This window comes from Homo sapiens, chromosome 9, assembly GCF_000001405.40.
Source record: "Homo sapiens chromosome 9, GRCh38.p14 Primary Assembly".
In the NCBI taxonomy this organism is placed as follows: domain Eukaryota; kingdom Metazoa; phylum Chordata; class Mammalia; order Primates; family Hominidae; genus Homo; species Homo sapiens.
The window spans coordinates 62,009,685-62,024,047 of NC_000009.12; positions in this window are offsets into that span (position 1 = coordinate 62,009,685).

Here is a 14,363-nt window from a genome sequence, read left to right on the forward strand (position 1 = left end):
AGGCGCTCGCCACCATGCCCGGCTAATTTTTTTTTTTTTTTGTATTTTTTTAGTAGAGACGGGGTTTCACCGTGTTAACCAGGATGGTCTCGATCTCCTGACCTCGTGATCCGCCTGCCTTGGCCTCCCAAAGTGCTGGGATTACAGGCGTGAACCACCACGCCTGGCCCATACTGACCACTTCTATTCAACATAGTAGTGACAGTCTTAGCCTGGGAAATTAGATATGAGAAAGAAATAACAGCTATCCAAAATGGAAAGCAAGAAGTAAAATGATCTCTGTTTACAGATGACATAATCTTATTGTAGAAAGCACTAAAAACTGTTAGAACTAATAAATTCAACAAAATTTTATAATCCAAAGTGAACAAAAAGTAATTGCATATTTATACACTAACAGTCAGTAATCCAAAAACGCATTTAAGAAAACAATCCCATCAGGAACTTATAAAAGCATAAACAATAGTAACAAGAAGAATAAGATACTTTGGAATAAACTTAACCAAGGATGGGAAAACCTTGCACACTGAAAACTACGAAACAGGCTGGGTGCAGTGGCTCACACCTGTAATCCCAGCACTTTGGGAGGCCAAGGTGGGTGGATTGCTTGAGTCCAGGAGTTCAAGACCAAGTTGGGCAACATGGCGAAACCCCCTCTCTACTAAAAATACAAAAAATAGCCAGGCATGGTGGCACATGCCTGTAGTCCCAGTTACTTGGGAGGCTGAGGTGGGAGAATCACCTGAGCTCAGGAGGTCGAGGCTGCAGTGAGCCGAGATCATGCCACTGCACTCCAGCCTGGGCAAACAGAGTGAGACCCTGTCTCAACAAAACAAAACAAAACACAGCAAAACACAAAAAACCTACAAGACATTGCTGAAAGAAATTAAAGAGACATAAATAAATAGAAAGACATCCTGTACTCATGAATTGAAAGACTTAGTGTTAAGATATCCATGTACCCAAAGTGATTTACTGATTCAATGCAATTCTTAACAAAATGCAAATGACTTTTTTGCAGAAATGGAATAAAACCATTCTATAATTTACATAGAATCTCAAGGGACCCTGCATAGCCAAAACAATCTTAAAAAAGAAGAATGAAGTTAGAGTGCTCACACTTTTGATTTTAAGAATATTTTGAAGCTACAGTAATTAAAGACAGTGTAACACTGGCATAAAGACACATATACAGACCAATGAAACAGAACAGGAAGTTCAGAATTAAACTCTCACATACATGATCTTCAACAAGGGTACCAAGACAAAACAATGGGGAAAGGACAGTCTCTTCAATAATTGGTGTTGTAAACACTAGATATCCACATGCAAAAGAATGAAGTTGAAACTTAACCTTACATCATATATAAAAATTAACTTAAAATTGATTAAAGACCTAGACATGAGACCTACAACTGTAAAATGACTAGGAGAAAAGTGTAAGAAAAGCTTCATGACACTGAATTTGGTAATGATTTCTTGAATATGATACCAAAAGAATAGGAAACAAAAGAAAAAGGTAGACAAATAGGACTACATCAAACTTAAAAATTTTTGCACATCAAAGAAACAGTGACAAAGCAACCTGTGAAATGAGAGAAAATATTTGCAAATTATATCTAAAAGGGGTTAATATCCAGAATACTTGTCTATAGAGAACCACTACAAGTCAACAACAAAAGACAATCTGTTAAAAAAATGGGCCAAGAACTTGAATAGACATTCCTCCCAAGAAGAAGTATAAACATTAAAAAAATGTTCAGTGCCTTTAATCAAATTAAAACTACAATGAGCGATCGCCTACCCATCAGGATGGTCACTACAAAAAAAGACCAAGCAAAACATATTGGAAGGATGAGAAGAAACTGGAACCCTTTTACACTGTTGGTAGGAATGAAAAAATGGTGCAGCTGCTATGGAAAAATGATCTGAGGTTCCCCAAATAATTAAAAATAGAACTACTATATGATCCAGGAATCTCACTTCTGGGTATGTATGCAAAAGAACTAAAATAATTATGTCAAAGAGTTATCTGCATACCCATGTTAATTGCAGCATTATTCACAAAAGTCAAGAGTTGGAAGCAACCCAAATGTCTATTAAAAGATGAATAAAGAAAATGTGGAATATACATACAATGGAATACTATTTGACCTTAACAAAGAAGAAAATTCTGTCACATGCTACAACATGAATGAACCTTGAGGATATTGTACTAAGTGAAATAAGCCAATCACAAAAAGACAAGTATTGTATGATTACATTTATAGGAGGTTTCAAAAATAGACAAACTCATAGAAACAGAAACTACAATGGTGATTGCCAGAGACTGGGGACATGGAGAAATGGGGAGACGTTGTTTAACTGGTTTAGTTTCAGGTTTGCAAGATTAAAAAGTTCTGGAGATTTGTTACACAACACTGTGCATACAGTGAACGCTACTGAACTGTGCACTTAAAAAGTGGTTGAAATGGTAAATTTCTTATGTGTTTTAAAATATATATGTATTTTTTAATTTTTAATTTTTTTTTAATTTTTTTGAGACAGAGTCTCACTCTGTTGCCTGGGCTGGAGTGCAGTGGCGTGATCTCGGCTCACTGCAAGCTCTGCCTCCTGGGTTCACGCCATTCTCCTGCCTCAGCCTCCTGAGCAGCTGGGACTACAGGTGCCCGCCACCAGGCCCAGCTAATTTTTTGTAGTTTTTAGTAGAGATGGGGTTTTTCACCGTGTTAGCCAGGCTGGTCTCGAACTCCCGACCTCAGGTGATCCGCCCACCTCGGCCTCCCAAAGTGCTGGGATTACCGCGTGAGCCACCACGCCTGGCCTGTATGTGTTTTTAAAATCACAATGAGAAATTAAAAAATAAAATGAAAATAAGAAATGCTTAGCATATAAGAAAGTGAAGCATCGAAGCCCACGAAGATACAGCGAGTTTGCTTACTCCCAGCTTGTCTGGCACTGTCCAGATCTTACTGCCGATAGCCCTGCACCCTGAGTATAACCTCAGTCCCAGGCACACCAGGTGTTCGGATATTCTATATGAAAACCAGAGCATTTAAAGAAATGGTGTAAACAGAATAAAGGTATTTTGTTGAAAGTAAAGTATAATGCTATCCTTACTTGGTAATCCCATTGCCTTTAAAGTGAAGCATATTACTGGGATGTAAACCTGTATTTTTCTCTCTTGGCTCTTTAACAGATTCTCCAGATCTGTCTTATTTATATTTCCTTCAAAATACTTCTGTGATTTCTATCTTTTCTTGTTTCCAAGCCACACTTCAGCTTCATTCCTTATGCACAGGAGAGCCTGTTCTTGGTTTCTTTTCTTCCAGGTTCTGATTTTTAATCTGCCCAAATTGTAACTGGGACATTTATTGACAAAAAGAAATTTGAACATGTAACAGCCTTTTTTTTCCTTCTAATTTTTAAGTGGTTTCTAATTAGGTAATTTCCTGAAGGTTAAAGTTCTTAAAGTCTCTGATTTATTAGTTCATCATTCTTAATTTTTTCAGTTTTCTATCATTGTCTAGTAGAGTATGTCCAGTTGATAGGATATCTGAGGACATATTATCTCTCCATCAATTTATTTCTGTATTACACACACTTTCTCTCCATTCTCTTCTTCAGACCTTCTGCACCACCTCCCCTCAACAGTTGTAACAAATAAAAATGTCTCCAGACATTGCTGAATGTCCCGAGGCGGCAAAATTTCCTCTGGTTGAGCACAGCTGATAGAAATAATGCCCAAATTTCAAGATTTTTTCCAAAGTGGTCTTCATATTCAATTCCCAAACGTGTACTTAACATTGTTCTTTCTGAAAAGAGTACTTTCCCCATTTTCTCTACCTGGAGAGAACTCCAGGAAGCTGAGACCGGCCAGACCACAGAGCTTGACCCAGGTTCCACACATTTTTCATGTGCAAATTGGAAAGCACGATGAGATATCTCTCTTGCCTGTCATTATGATTTTTTTTTAAGTGAAAAATAGGCTGGGCGCCGTGGCTCACACCTGTAATCCCAGCACTTTGGGAGGCCGAGGCGGGCGGATCACGAGATAAGGAGATGAGACCATCCTGGCTAACACGGTGAAACCCCGTCTCTACTACAAAATACAAAAAATTAGCCAGGCGTGGTGGCGGCCGCCTGTAGTCCCAGCTACTCGGGAGGCTGAGGTAGGAGAATGGCGTGAACCCGGGAGGCGGAGCTTGCAGTGAGCCGAGATCGCGCCACTGCACTACAGCCTGGGCGGCAGAGCCAGACTCCATCTCAAGAAAAAAAAAAAAGTGAAAAATAAAAATCCTGGTTTCTGGGGAATCAATCACTCATATAGTGCTGTCGTTAACATAAATATCCAAATCTTCACAGAGGAACAGAGGACAATATGACAATAAGCACTACATTTTCAAGTGTCTTTTATACCCATTGAAAATTTGGTAGAAATTAGATATCTAGGAATTTCCCCTAACAGAGTAAATATACAGACCGTGTGCGGTGGCTCACGCCTGTAATCCCAGCACTTTGGGAGACCAAGGCGGGTAGGTCACGAGGTCAGGAGATCAAGACCATCCTGGCTAACATGGTGAAACCCCGTCTCTACTAAAAATACAAAAACAAAATTAGACGGGCGTGGTGGTGGGCGCCTGTAGTCCCAGCTACTCAGGAGGCTGAGGCAGGAGAATGGCGTGAACTCGGGAGGCAGAGCTTGCAGTGAGCCGAGATCGCGCCATTGCACTCCAGCCTGGGCGACAGAGCAAGACTACGACTCAAAAAAAAAAAAAAAAAAAAGTAAATATACAGAAATACCTGGCTATAAAACTGTCACAGCTTATTTATAATAACCTCAAACTGGAAGCAATCTAAATGTCCATCAAAAGGGGACTAGAATAATACTCAACCCTAAACAACATATTGTGGAATATTTAATGACATGGAATGACTTCTATTTTAAGAACAAAACAGGCGGGGCGCAGTGGCTCAAGCCTATAATCCCAGCACTTTGGGAGGCCGAAGCGGGCGGATCACCAGGTCAGGAGATCGAGACCATCCTGGCTAACACGGTGAAACCCCGTCTCTACTAAAAATACAAAAAATTAGCTGGGCGTGGTGGCCGACGCCTGTAATCCCAGCTACTCGGGAGGCTGAGGCAGGAGAATGGCGTGAACCCAGGAGGCGGAGCTTGCAGTGAGCCGAGATCGCGCCACTGCACTCCAGCCTGGGCGACAGAGCAAGACTACGTCTCAAAAAAAAAAAAAAAAGAAACAAAAGATGTCAAGTCCTTAGTCATTATAAAAATGATGCTTAATCATTTTCTTGGATTTTGCAGATGAATTGGTGAATAGCTTTGTGACAGACCTTTGTTCAAGATCCATTCAAGGATAGAAGACAATTGCATTGAATGGTTGAATAGGGAGATTTCTCAGGAGAATGTTGCTGGGTGCGGTTGAATATTTACTCTCCCACATCCTTGCCTGGCAGGAGGGCCTGTAAGGAGGCTATTCTATGAGCTTGTATCATCTCCCTGGATTCTAGGAGCAAATTAAGAAGCAAATGTTGGACCTCTGCCTGTGAAAACCACAGGTCCAAGACACTGAGAGGAACCAGGAACCACGGTAAGAAGAGAGGAAAGTGGTGTGAGTGCCTACACTTTCATCATTTGCATGACAAGGGGGTCCCATGAGTCAAGTACAGTCTAGGAGGTAATTGAGGTGGAGCTGTGCAGAAGGGACCCTGACCAAGAGTTGAGGGGCACCAGCGGAGAGGCTGTGGGTTGCACCTCCAGGGGCGGATGCTGGAAGTGGTGCCTGAAAGGAGTCAGCAGGAAGAGCCACATTGCTTGTATCTTGAGACATAACTGGGTGTGCAAAATGGGAAATCACTGTGGATCTCTCAGTAGGAATCTTTCAGGGATAGAGCCGGTTGTGAACATTCTGTAACATCAGATTAAATAGGGCCTTTTCTGTTCTTCATCTCTCTTTCATGCCTTTCTTCCCCCAGATAGACATACTCAGTGAGCTCTCTTCCCAGTTTGAAGCAGGTCTGAGGTGGAGAAGTAGAGAAAATCAAAGTTTTGACTATTGCATGGAAGTGGACATCCTAATTATTGAAATAATACTGTTGTGGCCAGGGCTGATGTTTAGCTGAGATGTACTGGTGTGGTTGCACTGGTTATTAAAATATTAAAATACTTTAATATTGGTTGGTAAACAGTCCTGATCCTAGGCCCCTTGAGGGCCTCCCCTGGGCCCTGGAAACCCTGTGGGCACTGCTATTCCTCCTTCCCACCCCCTCCACACACTTCCTATCCCTGAGACCAGTGTCCCCGGCGGTGAGGCTGATGCTCCAGTGGGCTGTACCCAATGTCTCTGGTTTTGCAGCCGGGCTTCCTGGGATTGTCCTCATGTGATCCTTATGGGAACAGCAACTTCCTCAATTGTCACCTCTTTTAAATGTCACCCAAGATCAGTTATGAACTGGCTCAAGTTTTATGCAAAAGAGTCTCCCAAAATCGGCCTCAAAAGCACTTTTGTTAGGACATTTTTGAGAAAAAAATATATGATGCTTTATGATTTTATTCTACTTTTTCAATGTCACATTTACAAATGTTTATAATTAAGTTAAAAGGGTGAGGCAGAAAACCAGGCAACTCTGTACTGATTTTTGTAATATAATCTGTCTCAAAATATACCATTAGAAGTTTAAATATTTAAATAGTTATAACCATTTCTAGGGGATGGTAACATGGCTAACTTTTAGACTTTTATTTATTAGTTTTTTTTTTTAGACGGAATCTCGCTCTGTTGCCCAGGCTGGAGTGCAGTGGTGTGACCTCAGCTCACTGCAAGCTCTGCCTCCCAGGCTTATGCCATTCTCCTGCCTCAGCCTCCCAAGTAGTTGGGACTACAGGTGCCTGCCACCACACCCATCTAATTTTGTTTTTGTATTTTTAGTAGAGACGGGGTTTCACTGTGTTAGCCAGGATGGTATCGATATCCTGACCTTGTGATCCACCCGCCTCGGCCTCCCAAAGTGCTGGGATTACAGGCGTGAGCCACCACGCCTGGCCCTGGCCAGTATTTCTTAAGTTTCATTAAAAAAAAAAATACATATATATATATAGTACTCTTTTGACTATTACTATTTTGAATGAGAGGAATAAAATAATACATGCAACTAAATGGGATTTTGTATTTTTCCTTCACATACATTGACCTACGTTTAAAATGTAAGCCTCTCACCCTCCTGACAACTCCATATCCCCACCCCCTGCTCTATGTGGTCAGAGTTGGTGCATCCCAATGCCTTGAATAGGGTCTGACACATTTGCTGTTGGAATCACTTGAATCATTTCACTTAGCAGGAACATAGTAAAGTATAAATGATGCTGAGGTATATCTCCCCAAGGAGGAGGACACAGAACAGGTTCTCTGTGGGGACAGGAGGAGGGACTGGCCCTGTGTACCCACTGCCTCCCCACGGCTTCCTCAACTTTTGCTTGATTTTTCCTCGATCAGGAACATGACATCACATTCATCCAGACCTTGAACCTATCTTATTAGGTTTATTCCTAGGTATTTTCTTGTTTTTCTGACATGCAAATATAATCTTTTTCCTTATTTCAATTTTCTGGTTGATTATTTCCATCATAAAGGAAAGTTGCTCTGTAAAATTTACCTGTTTCTAGCCACGCGATAAAATTTTCTTATTAGTTTCAATGGTGACTGTATACACACACACACACACACACACACACACACATACTTTAAGTTCTGAATACATATGCAGAACGTGCAGGTTTGTTACATAGGTGTACACGTGCTATGGTGGTTTGCTGCACCCTTCACCCCATCATCAACATTAGGTATTTCTCCTAATGCTATCCTTCCCCTAGCCCCCCACCCCGACCCCCACCGACAGGCCCTAGTGTGTGATGTTGCCCTCCCTGTGTCCATGTGTTCTCATTGTTCAACTCCCACTTAATGACTGAGAACATGGGGTGTTTCATTTTCTGTTCCTGGGTAAGTTTGCTGAGAATGATGGTTTCTAGCTTCATCCATGTCCCTGAAAAGGATGTGAACTCATCCTTTTTTATGACTGCATAGTATTCCATGGTGTATATGTACCACATTTTCTTTATCCAGTCTGTCACTGATGGGCATTTGGGTTGGTTCCAAGTCTTTGCTATTGTGAACAGTGCTGCAATAAACATACATTTCCATGTGTCTTTATAGTAGAATGATTTATAATCCTTTGGGTATATACCCAGTAATGGTATCGCTGGGTCAAATGGTATTTCTGGTTCTAGATCCTTGAGGAATCGCTACACTGTCTTCCACAATGGTTGAACTAATTCACACTTCTACCCACAGTGTAAAAGCATCCCTATTTCTCCACATCCTCTCCAGCATCTGTGGTTTCCTGACTTTTTAATGATTGCCATTCTAGCTGGCAATCTCTTTGTGGTTTTGGTATCTCATTGTGGTTTTGATTTGCATTTCTCTAATGACCAGTGATGATGAGCTTTTTTTCATATGTTTTTTGGCCACATAAATGTCTTCTTTTGAGAAGTGTCTGTTCATATCCTTTGCCCACTTTTTGATGGATGGGGTTTTTTATTTTTACTTGTAAATTTCTTTAAGTTCCTTATAGATTCTGGATATTAGCCCTTTGTCAGAAGGATAGATTGCAAAAATTTTCTCCCATTCTGTAGGTTGCCTGTTCAGTCTGATGACAGTTTCCTTTGCTATGCAGAAGCTCTTTAGTTTAATTAAATCTCATTTGTCAATTTTGGCTTTTGTTGCCATTGCTTTTGGTGTTTTTAGTCATGAAGTCTTTGCTCATGCCTATGTTGTGAATGGTATTGCCTAGGTTTTCTTCTAGGGTTTTTAGGGTTTTTATGGTTTTAGGTCTAACATTTAAGTCTTTAATCCATCTTGAGTTAATTTTTGTATAAGGTGTAAGGAAGGGATCCAGTTTCAGTTTTCTGCATATGGCTAGCCAGTTTTCCCAACACCATTTATTAAATAGGGAATCCTTTCCCCATTGCTTGTTTTTGTCAGGTTTGTCAAAAATCAGATGGTTGTAGATGTGTGTCATTATTTCTGAGGCTTCTGTTCTGTTCCATTGGTCTATATATCTGTTTTGGTACCAGTAAATGGTTACTTTTTTTAAAAAGCAAACTCTTTCGAATTTTATATGTTTATAATACAGCAAATAATTTTGTCTTGCTTTTAGAAAAAAATTGAGGTAAAATTCACGTAACATAAAGTTAACCATTTTACAGTGAACAATTCGGTAACACTGAGCATATTTACAATGTTATAGAAGTACCACCTCTGTTTAGTTTCAAAATATTTTCATCACTGCAAAATAAAACCATGTAAGCAGTCAAATCCCACCTGTCCTCTCCTCCTGTCTCTGTCAACCACCGATCTGTTCTATGGGTTTACCTATCCTGGATATTTCATATAAATGAAATTATACAATAACCCTGTATAATTTTTTGTGGGCCTGACTTCTTTCATTTAGCATAATGTTTTTGAGGTTCATTCATGTTATAGCATTTATCAGTACTCCACTTCTTTTTATGGCTGCATAATATTCCACTATATGTGTATATCATAATTTGTTTATACATTCCTCTGTTGACGGACATCTGGGTTGTTTCCAACTTTTGGCTGTTTTGAATAGAGCTCTTTCGAACATGTATGTACATGTATTTGTTTGAGAACTCGTTTTCATTTCTTTGGGGTATATACCTAGGAGTGAAATTGCTGAGTCATATAGTAATTCTATGTTCAACTTTTTGACCACTGCCAAACTGTTTTCCGCAAACATCATCATCACTAGCCATGTATGATTTACTCCACATCTTCACCAACACTTGGTGTTTAATATTTTTTTTTAATTATAGCCATCCTGGTAGTGAAGTGGTATCTCATCGTGGTTTTGATTTGTATTTCTCTAATAACTAATAATATTGAACATCTTTTCATGTGCTTGTTGGCCATTTGTAGATCTTCTTTGGAGAAATACCTATATAAACTCTTTGACCATTTCATTTTAATTGAGTTGTTTGTCTTTCTATTGTTGAGTAGTTAAAGTTCTTTATATAGACACATCATTTAGAGATTTGCAATTTTTTTCTCCCATTCTGTAGGCTATTTTTAAACTTTCCTAATAATATCATTTGGTGTACAAAAGTTTTAAATTTTGATGGAGCCCAATTTATATATTTCTTAATTTGTTGTTGATGCTTTTGGGGTCATGTCTAAGAACATGTATGTACCTAATCTGTATCTGAGAACCTAATCTCAGATTCAAGATCAGGAAGATTTAACCATAGGTTTTCTTCTAAGAGTTTTGTAGATTTAGCTCTTGCATTTAGGTCTTTGATACATTTTGAGTTAGTTTTTCTATATGGTATGAAATAAGGGTTCAACTTCATTCTTTTGCACGTGGCTATTTGGTTGTCTAAGCACTATTTGTTGAAGAGACTATTCTTTCCCCATTGAATGGTCTTTGCACCCCGTCAAAAATTAATCACCACAAATGAATGGGCTTATTTCTGGAATCACAATTCTATTTTTCTCATCTATATGTTTATCCATAAGGATAAACAGTGCCACACTGTTTTGATTATTGTTAACTTTGTAATAAGTTTTGAAATTAGAAAGTGTGAGTTCTCCAACTTTACTCTTCTTTTTCAATAATACTGTCTTAGCTGTTCGAGATCTTTTGCAATTCCTTACATATTTGATAATTAGCTTTTCAATTTCTGCAAAAAGGCTATTCAAATTTTGACATAGATTGTATTGAAACTAGATCTGTTTAAGTATTGCCATTGTGGCAATATCAAGTCTTCCAATCCATGAACACAAGGCATATTTCCATTTATTTAGGTATTCTTTAATTTCTTTTAGCAATGGTTTGTAGTTTTCATTGTGTAATACTTTCACTTCCTTGATAACATTTAATTTGAGGTTTTTTAAATCATTTTTATGCTATTATAAATGGAATTGTCTTAATTTAGTTTTTAAATTATTCACTGCGCCTTTCTAAGAACACATGTGATTTTTGTGTTCAGCTGTACCTTTGCTGAATTTGTTTATTAGCTGTAGTAGTGGATTCTTTGGGATTTTCTATATCTAGGTTTATCAGTGAATAGAGATCTTTCGATGCTTCTTATTTATTTTTCATTTCTGATTTCTCTGGCTAGAACTTCCAGTACAATGTTAAATGAAAGTGGTAAAAGGGGTCCTCCTTGTTTTGTTCCTGACCTTAGGGGAAAGTTTTAGTCTTTAACCAGTGAATATGATTTTGACTATGGGTTTTTCATAAATGCCCTTATTTTATGTTAAGGAATTCCCCTTCAATTTCTAATTTTATACGAGGATTTTTTTTTTCTTTTGAGACGAAGTCTAGCTTTGTCGCCCAGGTTGGAGTACAGTGGCTCGATCTTGGCTTACTGCAACCTCCGCATCTCGGGTTCAAGTGATTCTTCTGCCTCAGCCTCCTGAGTAGCTGGGACTACAGGCACCTGCCACCAAGCCCAGCTCATTTTTTTTTTTTTTTTTTTTTTTTAGTACAGACGAGGTTTCACCATGTTGACCAGCCTGGTCTCAAACTCCTGACCTCATGATCCACCCACCTCAGGCTCCCAAAGTGCTGGGATTACAGATGTGAGCCACCATGCCCGGCTTGAGGATTTTTATCATGAAAGTGTGGCAGATTTTGTTGAATGCATTTTCTGCAGTTGAGATGATCCTGAATTTCTCCTCGCCCCCACACACCTTTATCCTATTAATGTCATATAATACATTGGGTTTCTAATGTTGGACCATCCTTGCTTTCCTGGGCTGAATTCCACTTAGATATGGTATAAAATCCTTTTAATATGCTGTTGGATTTTATTTGCTAGCATTTTGTTGTGGATTTTTGTATCTTTATTCATAAGGGATATTGGTCTGTAGCTTTCTTTTCTTGGAATATCTTTCCCTGGTTTTCATATCAGGGTAATGCTGTCCTTATAGAATAAGTTAGAAAGTGTTCCCTCCTTTTCAATTTTTTGGAAGAGCTTGAGAAGGATAGATATTAATTGTTTTTTAATTTGTATTTTTATTTCAATAGTTTTGGAGGTACGGGTAGTTTTTGCTTACATGGATAAGTTCTTTAGTGGTAATTTCTGAGATTTTGGTGTACCTGTCACCTGAGCAGTGTACACTGTACCCAACATGTAGTCTTTTATCACTTATGCCTCTCCCACTCTTCCCCTGAGTCCCCAAAGTCCATTATATCATTCTTATGTATTTGCATCCTCATATCTTAGCTCCCACTTAAAAGGGAGAACATATGATATTTGGTTTTCCATTCTTGAGTTACTTCACTTAAAATAATGGCCCCCAACTCCACCCAAGTTGCTGCAAAAGACATTATTTTATTTCTTTTTATGTCTGAGTTGTATTCCATGGTGTATATATACTACATTTTCTTTATTCACTCATTGGTTGATGGGCACTTAGGTTGATTCCATATCTTTGCAACTGCAAATTGTGCTGCTATCAACATGCATGTGTGTGCATGTATCTTTTTTCATATAGTGACTTATTTCCCTTTGGGTACTTACCCAATAGCAGGATTGCTGGATCGAATGGTAGTTCTACTTTTGATCCTTTAAAACTGTTTTCCGGCCTGGCGCAGTGGCTCACGCCTGTAATCCCAGCACTTTGGGAGGCCTAGGCAGGCAGATCACGAGGTCAGGAGATCAAGACCATCATGGCTAACACGGTGAAACCCTGTCTCTACTAAAAAATACAAAAAATTAGCCGGGCATGGTGGCGGGTGCCTGTAGTCCCAGCTACTCGGGAGGCTGAGGCAGGAGAATGGCGTGAACCCTGGGAGGTGGAGCTTGCAGTGAGCCAACATGGTGCCACTGCAGTCTAGCCTGGGCAACAGAGCAAGACTCTGTCTCAAAAAATAAATAAATAAATAAAATAAAAAACCAAAAAAAAAATCTGTGTTTTCCGCAGTGGAAAACTAGTTTTTCCATACTGTTTTCCATAGTGGTTGTACTAGTTTACATTCCTACCAGCAGTGTAGATGTGTTACCTTTCCACCACATCCACGCCAACATCTATTGTATTTTGACTTTTTAATTATGGCCATTCTTGCAAGAGAAAGGTGATATCTCATTGTGGTTTTAATTTGTATTTCCCTGATAATTAGTGATGTTGAGCATTTTTTTCACTTTGTTGGATGTTTGTATATTTTCTTTTGACAATTGTCTATTCATGTCCTTTGCCCACTTTTTCATGGAACTATTATTATTTTTTACTGTTGATTTGTTTGAGTTCTTGTAGATTTTGGATATCAGTCCTTTGTCAAATGCATAATTTGCAAATACTTTCTCCCAATCTGTAGGTTGTCTGTTTACTCTGCTGATTATTTCTTTTACTTTGTAGAAGCTTTTTAGTTTAATTAGGTGTCATGTATTTATTTTTGTTTTTGTTGCATTGCTTTTGGGGTCATAGTCAAGAATTCTTTGCCTAAGCCAATGTCTAGAAGACTTTTTCTGATGTTATCTTCTAAAATTTTTATGGCTTCAGGTCTTAGATTTAAGTCTAAGTTTTCTTAGATTTAAGCTATTTTGAGTTGACTTTTGTATAAGTGAGAGATGAGGATTCAGTTTCATTCTTCTATGTGTGGCTTCCCAGTTTTCCCGGCACCACTTATTGAAGAGAGTGTCCTTTCCCCAATTTATGTTTTTGTTTGTGTTGTTGAAGATCAGTTGGCTGTAAGTATGTTGGCTTTATTTATGTGTTCTCTGTTCTATTCCATTGGTCTATGTGCCTACTTTTATACCAGTACCATGCTGTTTTGGTGACTTTAGCCTTGTAGTATAATTTGAAGTTGGGTAATGTGATGCCTCCAGATTTGTTCTTTTTGCTTAGTATTGCTTTGGCTATGCAGGTTCTTTTTTGGTTCCATATGAATTTCAGGATTGCTTTTTCTGGTTCTATAAAGAATGATGACGGTATTTTGTTGGGAATTGCATTGAATCTGTAGATTGCTTTGGACAGTATGGTCATTTTCACAATATTTATTCTACCCATCTGTGAGTGTGGGATGTGTTTCCATTTGTTTGTGTCATCTATGAATCTTTCAGTAGTGTTTTGTAGTTTTCCTTGTAGAGATCTTTCACCTCCTTGGTTAAATATATTTGTAAGTATTTTGTTTTACTTTTGCAGTTGTAAAAGGGATTGAATTCTTTTTTTTTTTTTTTTTTTTTTTTTTGAGATGGAGTCTCATTCTGTCGCCCAGGCTGGAGTGCAATGGTGCAATCTTAGCTCACTGCAACCTCTGCCTCC